Raw genomic sequence first — 16159 nt, forward strand, 5'->3', positions numbered from 1 at the left:
CTTTTAACCATTTTTATTCTTATCATGTCATATTTCATGTGAAAGTTATAAATAGTATTTCACTTATTTGCTTTGGCAAAAGTAGCTACTAGCTTTCCTTAGACATCTTTCAAATGGAGAATTTAAACTAGTGTTAACTGTAATAAAGGAGCAAATTGAAAGGAAATTCTAATTAATGTTGCTTGTGTTGGGGAGTAGTCATTTTATGAAGAAAGGTTGAAATGTCTTCTTAAAATTTTGGACTATCTTTTCTTATATTTACCACAAATCACGGATAATTCTCAAGTGTTCACAGTCTCAAAATAGCAACTCTATTAGCTTTAATCTAAGAATACAGTTCTCTGCTCTGCTTTATTTAATTAGGTGTTAAAACACAATCTGTTAAGCCTTTATCTCCTGACATATTCCTATTTTCCTATATATTAAATTGTTAAATTTATCAAAAGAAGGCTGTCGGTATGATCACTTCATTAAACCTGTAACTGACTCCTGATAATGCCTATCAGTCCACACTTTAGACATGTATAATAGAGCACATCAGTAGACACCTGCAAACCAAGTAAGCAGAATAAATCATGCTGAGCCTGAAAAAAATGCATGTTCTTGGAGGTAAAGATTTTGCTTACCAAAAATAAAGTATGGTCTCAAAAAGCAGACGCTCAAAGCCTGTGGAAGCAGTGGTGATGTACTAGGAAGAGGAATAGATTGGGAAACTCACAGTCTGATCTTGAGTCCTTTGTATGCTCTGACCTGTGGTATCAGTCAAGTGGCTTGACCCGTCTAGCCTTAACTTTTTCATCTGGAAAATGAGGAAAATTGTACCTCAAAGAGCTGCCAAACAGACAAAATAGTCTACGGTATGCTAAAACATATTTTAAACATTATAAAAGTATAAAGCTTTTATTTTTAATAACCAGACTTTACCATGATTAGTGTTTAACTTTTAGAGTCTTTGATTTGAAGTGTTTGGGAAATCCTTGCTGGAAAATGTTTTTATATCTACCTATGTGACAAAATATAGAAGTTGCATACGTGTCCAATAATGCATTTTCTTTATGCATGACTGGAAGAAATTAATGCAGCCCATTTCCAACTTACAGGAGTTCTGGTCCCACTGTCTGTTCGCAAGTCAACGATCTGGAACATGGAGACTGTCCCCTGGACACAAAGTTGTCTTCTTAACTAATAATAAATGTTCACAGACATTTCTTTGACCCTAAACCACTACAGCTCACACATTTCCATAGCGGACACTAGAAACGTTTTTCTTGTTACTGCTGCAGTTCTGAAAGGCAGCATTTGTCCCCCATGTCTGTGACTGCTCTGAGCTTCTGCTGGTCTCACCCAGCCTCTGAAAAGACATTAGCGGTAAGCTGTAGGAGGCAGGCCAGGGTGTTCTATGGGGAAGGGGTAAGAGTAAGAGACCTTTTCCTTGGTCTCTGCTTGGACTAGCAATAAGCCTGGCAGAAGCTGAGGGAAAGTAGCACAAGAGTTAAGGTTCTGCAGAAGCCTCTTCCCCTACCTTCTTTCCCTTCCTGTGCTCTCTACCTTCCCCAAGCAGGGCTGCTAGGATGAGAATTCCACCGCCTCTCTAACTCTAGGAGGAGGGTGATGAGGAGCCTGAGATATGAGGATCCAAGGCTGGGTAGGAGGAGAGAAAAGGGGGCAGGGAAGAGGGCCGGGGAGAAGATGATGTGCTATTCTGAGATTCTGTGGAGATGCTGGCTATTGCTTTACTCTTTTGAGAAAGAGTAAAATCTCTCAAGTATTGATGAACCATCCAGGAAAATGCAGTGTTGCCTGTTAGAGTAAATAAAGTAGTTACAGTAGATATGTAACAAAAGTTAACTGAATCTAGACTTAATCTGCTCCCTGCTTCTCTCTCTCTCTCTCTCTCTCTCTCTCTCTCTCTCTCTCTCTCCCCCCCCCCCCACCTTCTTCCCTCCCTCCCTCCCTCTCTCCCCACCACACCACAGATACTCTATTGGGACCACAAACTCAAAATCCTAATGATTAAATTGATCATCATCTTCTACTTCACAGCCAACTACTCCTGCTTTCCCTATTTTTGTACATGACAATTTTCCCCAGTCATCTAGTTCAAAAACTATGTAGTTTCTCCTTATTACCTCATATTTCAAAGAGGAGACAAGACTTATCTATTATTCATCTATGCATTCATGCAAGATTTCTTGCACTAATCCTTTTCCTTTTCATTGCTACTAGCAGCTTTATCATTACTTTGCACCTGGACCTCCCTGGTATCTCTGCATCTAACCTCTTCACATCAAAGATCCTCAGTAGATTCATGTATGTATAACATATAATAATATCACCATTCCAGATCAGTGAGGGAAAAGATGGATTTATCGTAAATTAGAGAAAATGCAAGCCACAACACAGTTACTTTTTCTTATACTCTATATCAAAATAAATTCAACATTGATCAGATCTTAAGGTAACAAATGAAACCTTAAAAGCGCTTGAATAAAATATTGCTGAATATTTGCTAGGCTTGGAATAAGAAAAGCTTTTCCAAGAAAAGAATTAAGTTCAGAAGTTGCAAATAAAAAGTGTGAAAGATTTGATGAAATCAAAAATTTTAATGTTTATTACAATAATTAGTAAAAAAAAATTAAATGGGAAAATATTCACTATATATGACAGAATTAATACAGACAAATAAGATAAATCAGTGAAAGTATAGTTACAAGATATGAATGGATAACTCACAAAATAGGAAATATAAATGGCCTTTGATATGCAAAATATTTCACTCTCGTAATCAATAAAATACAAATTAACATAATATCATTTTCCCCTTTCAGACTGGCAAAGATGTTAACAAATATTAATAACCAGGATGACACTGTAGAGAAAGAGGAAACACAGTGTAAACTGGCATAAAATTTCCAGAGGGCACTTTGACAACACTCATCAAAAGCCTTAAAATTAAGCATCCTTTGATCTAGCAATTTCCTTTACAATAATTTGTTTGATGAAAGTACTCCAACAAATTCATGAAGATCTGTGTATTTAGCATTTACTGTTAGTGATTATAATAGTAAAAAAACAGTATTAATATAAAAAAATCAATGGAGGATTGATTAAATTAAGGATTAGTGACATAATAGCATGTAATGCATCAATTGATTTATTTATTGTTATGAAAATGCTCATGATATATGTGCAAATGATTTCAAATTATGTGTATGATTTTTTTAATTACATATGTGAAATATGTAAAGATACAGAGATTGCTGGTAGTGGTTGGTGTTGGTTATTTCTGGGTGATAGAATCCCAGACGCTTTTTACTGATTCTTTATTTATAAATAAACAGAAATTAAGAAATCGATCCCATTTGGGAAATAGTCTTAAATCTTCAGTTGAGATTTTACCCTATATTAACTCCAAAGTTATATATACCCTATATTAACTCCAAACTAGGGACCCTCCTAGTGACAAATGTCAAGCCTACAGGCAGGGGCCAAATTGAAAGGTTGCTACCATAATCTAAATGTATAGTGAGCGAATAATGCTAGTGAAAGAGACAGACAATGAGCCAATACAGGTGTCAAAGTTGATGCTGGAGTTTTAGACCTGTCTGACTAGGAGGCTGTTGGCCCAAAGAAGAGATGGCTAACAGAAAGATGCTGGGTCTTTAAGTGCCCAACACAGAGCCTTAAACATAGCAGCCATTCAAAATTTTTTTAATGGAAGAATGTAGTTCCAGATGATTTCTTATTATGATCAGTATATATGCTCTGTACAAAGTATTTTCTGGAGATTCCAAGAAGGCTCTAATAGAGGCAGTTTGATCAACACAAGAAACACCAAAATGGGAGTCAGGAGACCTCTTTTACCCATCTCCTAGCTGCATGTTTCTGAGCAACTCACTTCACCCTTTAAGGAGTCCGCATTCTGCACAGGCATTTGAATGCTACTGTTTTAGAGAGATCTTCCCTGATTTCCGGTCCTCAAGAAAAAGAAAGTAGCTGAGTCCTCCTGTTCTCACTTGTCTGGTTGTCAGAATCCAGTTGGCGCCTAGGAATTCACAAATCTCTGTCCTTCTTGTCTGGACTTGCCACTGACATAGTTAGTTCCCTTATCACGTTTTGGACTTAACTGACATAAAGAATACGCTAAGGAACCTGCTCAGAACATCGCAGGATATTGAGCTGGGCCTCTACAAAGGGTCTTAAACCCTGCGCTTAACATTCATTGGGCTCTTACTACCCTTTAGGCCCTGCTCTAAGCACTTTGCATACATGAGTATATCTCACTTCATCATTACTTAGCAAAAGCCGTTCTGATTAACCATAACACAGATAAGTAAAGTGGAGCTTAAAGAAACGAAATGATGGATCCTGGATCACATAGTGTGGAAATGGTGGAGGCCAGATTCAGACCCAGGAAGGAGACTGGCAGAGGTTTAACAGGTGCAGACGCTGCAAGATCTGCACAAGAGGCCATAAGAGGTTTTACAGCTTTCTTCACTGAAGTTTTTCACTGTACTTCATTACACAGTGTATACTTATATCAAGTTATTACATTGTACTCCTTGACAAATTTTTATTTGTCAACTAAATATGTTTTAAGAGAATAAAAAAAAGAAAGAATGGGAAATATAGTGAACTGGCTGACCTGTTATAGGAGTGTGGACTAATAATAGCACAAATGCCCTCTGATTCATGGTGTATGTCTAAATGATGGGGCTAGATTCAGGCTCCAAATTGCTTCCCTGGAGCACTGCGGTGGGCTGTGGCCTATTGTTCCTATGTCCACAGGGATTGTACTGCTCCCCACTGTCCTCACCAGTGAAAAGCCCAGAGCTGGGCTTGGATTGCTGACAGGGCTGGCCTAGGCATCAGCCTGTTTGCAACAGGGACCAATGCACAGCAAAGCTTTTCACACTCTGCCATCTGAACCAGAAGCCTAGCTTGCTTTTGTCGAGAGTGTTCTTAGGTACATAAATATAACAAGGAATTAAATAAAGCACATCTGCAGATTTCCTTCAGGCTTTACATATTCTCTTCCAAATACACGCCTGAGTCTCCAAGGGACAAGCACTGGCTCACCTTTCCTGAGCCAGCTGGTAAATAATTTGTATCAGAGTAGATGTCTGAACCCTACAATTCTTGTCACTTCCATATTCTCCATATCCTTTTTTTTAAAATATTCTCCATATTCTTAAGCTGCAGAGTCAAATTACTGTCATGATGCAAAAAACACCACAGTAGACACAATTTTTTTTGACAATTTAAATCCTATTTGAACCTCTCAGTTTTGGAGTGAAAACTAACTTTTGAGATGTGATAGATGAGAACCTAACAATTGCTAAAATCCTGGAATAGAAATAAAAGAAAGGAACTGCCTCTAAAACCTTACAAACTTTGCTTAATTAGTAAAGGAGCAACAAACAATTCATAAGCCCCTACAATAAACATCACACTAAGAAAAAACATTTTACTTAAGAGCCTTTAAAACATTCAAAAAATAATGTTCCACAATAAACATACGTGGGAATGTGTCTTTATAGTAGCATGATTTATAATCCTTTGAGTACATACCCAGTAATGGGATTGCTGGGTCAAATGGTATTTCTGGTTCTAGATCCTTGAGGAAATCATCACACTGTCTTCCACAATGGTTGAACTAATTTACACTCCCACCAACAGTGTAAAAGCATTCCTATTTCTCCACAGTCTTGCCAGCATCTGTTGTTTCCTGAGTTTTTAACGATTGCCTTCTAACTGGCGTGAGATGGTATCTCATTGTGGTTTTGATTTGCTTTCTCTAATGACCAGTGAAGAATGAGTTCATGTCCTTTGCAGAGACATGGATGAAGCTGGAAACCATCATCCTCAGCAAACTAACACAGGAACAGAAAACCAAACACTGCATGTTCTCACCCATAAATGGGAGTTGAACAATGAGAACACATGGACACAGGGAGGGGAACATCACACACCAGGGCCTACTGGGGGTGGGGGCAAGGGGAGGGAGAGCACTAGGGCAAATACCTAATGCATGGGGGGCTTCAAACCTAGATGACGGGTTGATGGGTGCAGCAAACCACCATGGCACATGTATACCTATGTAACAAAACTGCACATTCTGCACATGTATACCAGAACTTAAAGTAAAATTTAAAAAAGTTCCTAGTTTTGATACCTGAAAAAACTTTGCAGAATTCAAACACATTAGAATAAAATTTGATTTTAAAATATTGATTTAAAAGTTGAGTTGAACTAAACTGTCCGATGTATTACACACTCCTGATGATTTCAAGTCTAATATTTTAGACTTCCTTGAATTAAATATACTACCTACAAATTATCATTTTAAAATAACTATTTAAAAAATATCTGTGGCATTGAAGCTAGAAGCCACTTACTTCCATGTTTTTGCTATCTTGAATGTGTTGTTATCAGGTTCACACAGTGGTATAAATGGGGGGAGTTTGTTGAATCTGAGTTTTACATAACTTGAGAAAATGGGTTCTTGCAACTTTCCTCTGGGATTTAATACTAATCCTGTTACTGAGGAAATGATGAGGATATTATTCGAAAAGTCACAGCACTGATACCCTCTTGAAAAACATGAGCACTGTGGCCACAGTGCATTCTATTCTTTCTAGCCTCTGTAAACTCCAGGTAACTCACAGGTTATTTTCGCTCTCAGTAGATAGTTTTATTTGCATACCTTTTCTTAATTATAAAAGGAACATCAGCCTGAAATTACAAGCCCAGTAGAAAGAGTGTTTTAAGCAGAGGGAACAGCAGGCTGAGGGGCCCAGATGACAGAGAATATGTACTGGAAGAACTGAAAATCGAGGAGAAAGGTGCTGAATTAGAAAGTACAAACTAGGGGGAGGAGCCAAGATGGCTGAATAGGAACAGTTCCCGTCTACAGCTCCCAGCATGAGCGACACAGAAGACGGTGATTTCTGCATTTCCATCTGAGGTACCGGGTTCATCTCACTAGGGAGTGCCAGACAGTGGGCGCAGGTCAGTGGGTGCGCGCACCGTGCGCGAGCCGAAGCAGGTCGAGGCATTGCTTCACTTGGGAAGCGCAAGGGGTCAGGGAGTTCCCTTTCTGAGTCAAAGAAAGGGGTGACGGACGGTACCTGGAAAATCGGGTCACTCCCACCCAAATACTGCGCTTTTCCGACGGGCTTAAAAAACGGTGCACCACGAGATTATATCCCGTACCTGGCTTGGAGGGTCATACGCCCACGGAGTCTCTGATTGCTAGCACAGCAGTCTGAGATCAAACTGCAAGGCGGCAGCAAGGCTGGGGGAGGGGCGCCCGCCATTGCCCAGGCTTGATTAGGTAAACAAAGCAGCCTGGAAGTTCCAACTGGGCGGAGCCCACCACAGCTCAAGGAGGCCTGCCTGCCTCTGTAGGCTCCACCTCTGGGGACAGGGCACAGACAAACAAAAAGACAGCAGTAACCTCTGCAGACCTAAATGTCCCTGTCTGACAGCTTTGAAGAGAGCAGTGGTTCTCCCAGCACGCAGCTGGAGATCTGAGAACGGGCAGACTGCCTCCTCAAGTGGGTCCCTGACCCCTGACCCCCCGAGCAGCCTAACTGGGAGGCACTCCAAAGCAGGGGCACACTGACACCTCACACTGCAGGGTATTCCAACAGACCTGCAGCTGAGGGTCCTGTCTGTTAGAAGGAAAACTAACAAACAGAAAGGACATCCACACCAAAAACCCATCTGTACATCACCATCATCAAAGACCAAAAGTAGATAAAACCACAAAGATGGGGAAAAAACAGAACAGAAAAACTGGAAACTCTAAAACGCAGAGTGTCTCTCCTCCTCCAAAGGAACGCAGTTCCTCACCAGCAACGGAACAAAGCTGGATGGAGAATGACTTTGACGAGCTGAGAGAAGAAGGCTTCAGACGATCAAATTACTCTGAGCTACGGGAGGACATTCAAACCAAAGGCAAAGAAGTTGAAAACTTTGAAAAAAATTTAGAAGAATGTATAACTAGAATAACCAATACAGAGAAGTGCTTAAAGGAGCTGATGGAGCTGAAAACCAAGGCTCGAGAACTACATGAAGAATGCAGAAGCCTCAGGAGTCAATGCAATCAACTGGAAGAAAGGGTATCAGTGATGGAAGATGAAATGAATGAAATGAAGCGAGAAGGGAAGTTTAGAGAAAAAAGAATAAAAAGAAATGAACAAAGCCTCCAAGAAATATGGGACTATGTGAAAAGACCAAATCTACGTCTGATAGGTGTACCTGAAAGTGATGGGGAGAATGGAACCAAGTTGGAAAACACTCTTCAGGATATTACCCAGGAGAACTTCCCCAATCTAGCAAGGCAGGCCAACGTTCAGATTCAGGAAATACAGAGAATGCCACAAAGATACTCCTAGAGAAGAGCAACTCCAAGACACATAATTGTCAGATTCACCAAAGTTGAAATGAAGGAAAAAATGTTAAGGGCAGCCAGAGAGAAAGGTCGGGTTACCCTCAAAGGGAAGCCCATCAGACTAACAGCGGATCTCTCGGCAGAAACCCTACAAGCCAGAAGAGAGTGGGGGCCAATATTCAACATTCTTAAAGACAAGAATTTTCAACCCAGAATTTCATATCCAACCAAACTAAGCTTCATAAGCGAAGGAGAAATAAAATACTTTGCAGACAAGCAAATGCTGAGACATTTTGTCACCACTAGGCCTGCCCTAAAAGAGCTCCTGAAGGAAGCGCTAAACATGGAAAGGAACAACCGGTACCAGCCGCTGCAAAATCATGCCAAAATGTGAAGACCATCAAGACTAGGAAGAAACTGCATCAACTAACGAGCAAAATAACCAGCTAACATCATAATGACAGGATCAAATTCACACATAACAGTATTAACTTTAACTGTAAATGGACTAAATGCTCCAATTAAAAGACACAGACTGGCAAATTGGATAAAGAGTCAAGACCCATCAGTGTGCTGTATTCAGGAAACCCATCTCACGTTCAGAGACACACATAGGCTCAAAATAAAAGGATGGAGGAAGATCTACCAAGCAAATGGAAAACAAAAAAAGGCAGGGGTTGCAATACTAGTCTCTGATAAAACAGACATTAAACCAACAAAGATCAAAAGAGACAAAGAAGGCCATTACATAATGGTAAAGGGATCAATTCAACAAGAAGAGCTAACTATCCTAAATATATATGCACCCAATACAGGAGCACCAAGATTCATAAAGCAAGTCCTGAGTGACCTACAAAGAGACTTAGACTCCCACACATTAATGATGGGAGACTTTAACACCCCACTGTCAACATTAGACAGATCAATGAGACAGAAAGTCAACAAGGATACCCAGGAATTGAACTCAGCTCTGCACTAAGTGGACCTAATAGACATCTACAGAACTCTCCACCCCAAATCAACAGAATATACATTTTTTTCAGCACCACACCACACCTATTCCAAAATTGACCACATAGTTGGAAGTAAAGCTCTCCTCAGCAAATGTAAAAGAACAGAAATTATAACAAACTATCTCTCAGACCACAGTGCAATCAAACTAGAACTCAGGATTAAGAATCTCACTCAAAACCACTCAACTACATGGAAACTGAACAACCTGCTCCTGAATGACTACTTGGTACATAACGAAATGAAGGCAGAAATAAAGATGTTCTTTGAAACCAACGAGAACAAAGACACAACATACCAGAATCTCTGGGACGCATTCAAAGCAGTGTGTAGAGGGAAATTTATAGCACTAAATGCCCACAGGAGAAAGCAGGAAAGATCCAAAATTGACACCCTAACATCACAATTAAAAGAACTAGAAAAGCAAGAGCAAACACATTCAAAAGCTAGCAGAAGGCAAGAAATAACTAAAATCAGAGCAGAACTGAAGGAAATAGAGACACAAAAAACCCTTCAAAAAATTAATGAATCCAGGAGCTGGTTATTTGAAAGGATTAACAAAATTGATAGACCGCTAGCAAACCTAATAAAGAGAAAAAGAGAGAAGAATCAAATACACGCAATAAAAAATGATACAGGGGATATCACCACCGATTCCACAGAAATACAAACTACTATCAGAGAATACTACAAACACCTCTACGCAAATAAACTAGAAAATCTAGAAGAAATGGATAAATTCCTCGACACATACACTCTCCCAAGACTAAACCAGGAAGAAGTTGAATCTCTGAATAGACCAATAACAGGAGCTGAAATTGTGGCAATAATCAATAGCTTACCAACCAAAAAGAGTCCAGGACCAGATGGATTCACAGCCGAATTCTACCAGAAGTACACAGAGGAACTGGTACCATTCCTTCTGAAACTATTCCAATCAATAGAAAAAGAGGGAATCCTCCCTAACTCATTTTATGAGGCCAGCATCATTCTGATACCAAAACCTGGCAGAGACACAACAAAAAAAGAGAATTTTAGACCAATATCCTTGATGAACATTGATGCAAAAATCCTCAATAAAATACTGGCAAAACGAATCCAGCAGCACATCAAAAAGCTTATTCACCATGATCCAGTGGGCTTCATCCCTGGGATGCAAGGCTGGTTCAATAGACGCAAATCAATAAATGTAATCCAGCATATAAACAGAGCCAAGGACAAAAACCACATGATTATCTCAATAGATGCAGAAAAAGCCTTTGACAAAATTCAACAACACTTCATGCTAAAAACTCTCAATAAATTAGGTATTGATGGGACGTATTTCAAAATAATAAGAGCTATCTATGACAAACCCACAGCCAATATCATACTGAATGGGCAAAAACTGGAAGCATTCCCTTTGAAAACGGGCACAAGACAGGGATGCCCTCTCCCACCACTCCTATTCAACATAGTGTTGGAAGTTCTGGCCAGGGCAATCAGGCAGGAGAAGGAAATAAAAGGTATTCAATTAGGAAAAGAGGAAGTCAAATTGTCCCTGTTTGCAGATGACATGATTGTATATCTAGAAAACCCCATTGTCTCAGCCCAAAATCTCCTTAAGCTGATAAGCAACTTCAGCAAAGTCTCAGGATACAAAATCAATGTACAAAAATCACAAGCATTCTTATACACCAGCAACAGACAAACAGAGAGCCAAATCATGAGTGAACTCCCATTCACAACTGCTTCAAAGAGAATAAAATACCTAGGAATCCAACTTACAAGGGACTAGAAGGACCTCTTCAAGGAGAACTACAAACCACTGCTCAAGGAAATAAAAGAGGATATAAACAAACGGAAGAACATTCCATGCGCATGGGTAGGAAGAATCAATATGATGAAAATGGTCATACTGCCCAAGGTAATTTATAGATTCAATGCCATCCCCATCAAGCTACCAATGACTTTCTTCACAGAATTGGAAAAAACTACTTTAAAGTTCATATGGAACCAAAAAAAGAGACCGCATCACCAAGTCAATCCTAAGCCAAAAGAACAATGCTGGAGGCATCACACTACCTGACTTCAAACTATACTACAAGGCTACAGTAACCAAAACAGCATGGTACTGGTACCAAAACAGAGATATAGATCAATGGAACAGAACAGAGCCCTCAGAAATAACGCCACATATCTACAACTATCTGATCTTTGACAAACCTGAGAAAAACAAGCAATGGGGAAAGGATTCCCTATTTAATAAATGGTGCTGGGAAAACTGGCTAGCCATACATATGTAGAAAGCTGAAACTGGATCCCTTCCTTACACCTTATACAAAAATCAATTCAAGATGGATTAAAGACTTAAAGGTTAGACCTAAAACCATAAAAACCCTAGAAGAAAACCTAGGCATTACCATTCAGGACATAGGCATGGGCAAGGACTTCATGTCTAAAACACCAAAAGCAATGGCAACAAAAGACAAAATTGACAAATGGGATCTAATTAAACTAAAGAGCTTCTGCACAGCAAAAGAAACTACCATCAGAGTGAACAGGCAACCTACAAAATGGGAGAAAATTTTCGCAACCTACTCATCTGACAAAGGGCTAATATCCAGAATCTACAATGAACTCAAACAAATTTACAAGAAAAAAACAAACAACCCCATCAAAAAGTGGGTGAAGGACGTGAACAGACACTTCTCAAAGGAAGACATTTATGCAGCCAAAAAACACATGAAAAAATGCTCATCATCACTGGCCATCAGATAAATGCAAATCAAAACCACAATGAGATACCATCTCACACCAGTTAGAATGGCAATCATTAAAAAATCAGGAAACAACAGGTGCTGGAGAGGATGTGGAGAAATAGGAACACTTTTACACTGTTGGTGGGACTGTAAACTAGTTCAACCATTGTGGAAGTCAGTGTGGCGATTCCTCAGGGATCTAGAACTGGAAATACCATTTGACCCAGCCATCCCATTACTGGGTATATACCCAAAGGACTATAAATCATGCTGCTATAAAGACACATGCACACGTATGTTTATTGTGGCATTATTCACAATAGCAAAGACTTGGAACCAACCCAAATATCCAACAATGATAGACTGGATTAAGAAAATGTGGCACATATACACCATGGAACACTATGCAGCCATAAAAAAGGATGAGTTCATGTCCTTTGTAGGGACATGGATGAAATTGGAAACCATCATTCTCAGTAAACTATCGCAAGAACAAAAAACCAAACACCGCATATTCTCACTCATAGGTGGGAATTGAACAATGAGATCACATGGACACAGGAAGGGGAATATCACACTCTGGGGACTGTTGTGGGGTGGGGGGAGGGGGGAGGGATAGCATTGGGAGATATACCTAATGCTAGATGACGAGTTAGTGGGTGCAGTGCACCAGCATGGCACATGTATACATATGTAACTAACCTGCACAATGTGCACATGTACCCTAAAACTTAAAGTATAATAAAAAAAAAAAAAGAAAGTACAAACTAGGGAATGGCAGGAATTGAGGCTATAGATGCTGTGAAGGACAGATGATGCAAGGCCATATTAAGGAGTTTGGACTTTATCCTAAAAGCAATGTGAATTTACTAGACTTTCAAGCAGAGGACTAACAGACAAAAATGCATTTTAGAAAGGTTAGTCTGACCAGTGTGGGAGGTGAACAAGACAGAGATAAGACTAAAGGCAAAAAGAATTATTACAGTTATGCTCACGTAGCAGTCATACAAGAGCAAGATGATGGGATGAACAATAATGATGGGATGGAGAGACATGGATTTTTTTTTTTTTTTTTTTTTTTTTGGAGACAGTCTTGCTCTGTCGCCAGGCTCGAGTGCAGTGGTGCAATATAGCTTGCTGCAACCTCCGCCTCCCGGGTTCAAGGGATTCTCCTGCCTCAACCTCCCGAGTAGCTAGGACTACAGGCCCCTGCCACCACGCCCAGCTAATATTTTGTATTTTTAGTAGAGATGGGGTTTCACCATGTTAGCCAGGACAGACTCGATCTCCTGACCTCATGACCCGCCCGCCTCAGCCTCCCAAAGTGCTGGGATTACAGGCGTGAGCCAGCGCGCCCAGCCAGGTTTTAAAAAAAATTATGAATTACTTACATGCTATATTTTTGCCATCACTTTATTGCTAAAATTTATCAGTTATTTTGCTTTAGTTGAGTCCCTTGTAAACACCTTATATTTAAATTTTACTTTTGATATAATTTGAGAATATTCATCTTTTAATTCAAATCTAAATTATTCACATTTATTTTTATAAATATGGCATTTGGTCAAACTTTATCATCATATTTTTCTATTAGTATGTTTTCATTTTCCTAATTTTACACTTTTTTGCTTTTTCTTTTTTCTAACTTTGCGCTAGTGATTATCTTTCCTTCATATTTTACTTGCTAGTTACTGGTTATCTGTGATTTTTTTTGAAAAAGGGTGTCACCCAGGCTAGAGTGCAGTGGTATAATCATGGCTCACTGCAGATTCAACCTCACAGGTTCAAGTGATCCTCTCACCTCAGCCTCCTGAGTAGCTGGGACTACAGACGCGCGCCACCACTCCTAGGTAATTTTAAAAATTTTTGGCTGGGCACGGTGGCTCACGCCTGTAATCCCAGCACACTGGGAGGCCGAGGCGGGCAGATCATGAGGTCAGGAGATCAAGAACATCCTGGCTAGCATGGTGAAACCTCGTCTCTACTAAAAATACAAAAAAAAATTAGCCGGATGTGGTGGCGGGCACCTGTAGTCCCAGCTACTCGGGAGGCTGAGGCAGGAGAATGGCCTGAACCCGGGAGGCGGAGCTTGCAGTGAGCCGAGATCGCGCCACTGCACTCCAGCCTGGGTGACAGAGTGAGACTCTGTCTCAAAAAAACAAACAAACAAAAAAATTTTTAGAGATAGGGTCTCACTATGTCACCCTGCCTGGTCTTGAACTTCTGGGTTCCAGCGATCCTCCTGCCTCAGCCTCCTAAAGTGCTGGGGTTACAGGCGTAAGACACCTCACCCAGCCTGTGATTTTAAACATTGCATTTGAATTTGAATCACTTTCCAGAATACATCATGATTTTTACATACACCCTATAAAAGAAACAGTTTATCACACGTTTGCCTCCTCACTTATCTCCCTATAACCCCAAGTCCCAATGATCTGAATATTTTAGATTCATATCACAATTTTTTTTAACAATGCATCTTCTCTTTTAAAAATCACAGATGGGCTGGGCACAGTGGCTCACGCTTGTAATCCCAGCAGTTTGGGAGGCCTAGGTGGGTGGATTACCTGAAGTCAGGAGTTCAAGACCAGCCTGGCTAATGAGGTGAAACCCCATCTCTACTAAAAATACAAAACTTAGCCAGGTGTTGTGCTGCGCACCTGTAGTCCAAGTTACTCAGGAGGCTGAGGCAGGAGAATTGTTTGAACCTGGGAGGCAGAGGTTGCAGTGAGCCAAGACTGCACCACTGCACTCCAGCCTGGGTGACAGAATGAGACTCCATCCCAACAACAATGACAAAAATCACTTATGAACCTATATGTTATTTCAAAATCACATGAACAGGAATTATTTAAACAATTATTTCAGAGGAGTTATTATTTATCACCTTTTCTTTCTACCACATCTTTCACTTTCTTGAGTCAATCCTTTTTTCTAAATATTTTCTTTAATTTTGTTTTTGTCTGACATTCAATGAGCCTTTCTAACCTGAAGATACGAAGTTTTCATTAGCTCAGGAAACATTTATTTTATTTATTTGTATCATTGATTCCCCTAACTGTTCTGTTCTTTCCTTCTAAAAGAAAAAAAATTTCAGGAACATTTACTCTAGATTTCAATTTTGCTCCAACATTTATTACTGTCTTGAGAACCTCTATGACAATTTAGGTCAAGGGACAATTTATTCAAAAAAGAACAAACCATCTACAAATTCTCTTATCATGTGAGCCTCACTCCCATTCCGCATCCAGTGTGGTTTCCCACAAAGATGTTTGGAGAAGAGAATCAATGGAGGTGGAAATCTTTGGTCCAGCAGTTGGATGAGTCACAGGACCTTTTGGCCCATCTATTTGTTTCAGAAGGAACAAGCATAATATGTGTGTGCAGATTTCAACACTACATGGACAATAGCACAGCTGTTATTGTTGTGTATTCTTCTGCAAGAGGCCATGAACCCAAAAGCCTTGTGGTGAGGGGTTAAGACTAAGATTTTATTTCTTCTTTGTTAGTTGTTCTTTGTTTAGTTTCTTCTTTGTGCTTAAAAATATATGAAGTCATTACATGTGAAAAAAATAGATGTACATTATTTTAAGGTCCCATTCTGTAAAACGTGGTACAAATATGCATTAAATGAGAGACCTCAGTATAATTTAACTATCAGTGTTCAAGTTCAGTTTTTTCAACTCTGTATCTCCTCATTCTTGATTTAATATTTGGTTCATTTCTTGCCAAAATAATTATGTCTTTGAATAACTTTCAATGAAATGTGCATAAATAATTCATTTTCAGAGGCCGTATTTAAGTGAGACTATATCTATTCTCTTATCACATAAATTGCTGGCTCATAAACATTTCCCACAAAGTTCTTTAGACTTCTTGAAACTATTTGATTTCTGTCCCTTGTGAAATTCAAAAACTTCACCAATCTGCCTCCATGTGGGTCTCTTCTCATTATTATTTTTGCCTGAAATACAGGGAATATTCTCATTCTATAGAATCACATTTTTTT

At 39.6% G+C, this 16159-nt stretch overlaps 1 long non-coding RNA gene across 1 annotated transcript in view; it reads right to left on the reverse strand.

Annotated features, from left to right (window-relative positions):
• Window positions 1-16159, reverse strand: part of LOC283299 (uncharacterized) — a 55205-nt gene that overhangs the window by 3414 nt on the left and 35632 nt on the right. The window contains exon 7 of the long non-coding RNA NR_036678.1: window positions 719-799. This is a non-coding gene — a long non-coding RNA (uncharacterized LOC283299). The remainder of the gene's footprint in view (window positions 1-718; window positions 800-16159) is intronic.

Source organism: Homo sapiens, chromosome 11 (genome assembly GCF_000001405.40).
Source record: "Homo sapiens chromosome 11, GRCh38.p14 Primary Assembly".
Lineage (NCBI taxonomy): Eukaryota > Metazoa > Chordata > Mammalia > Primates > Hominidae > Homo > Homo sapiens.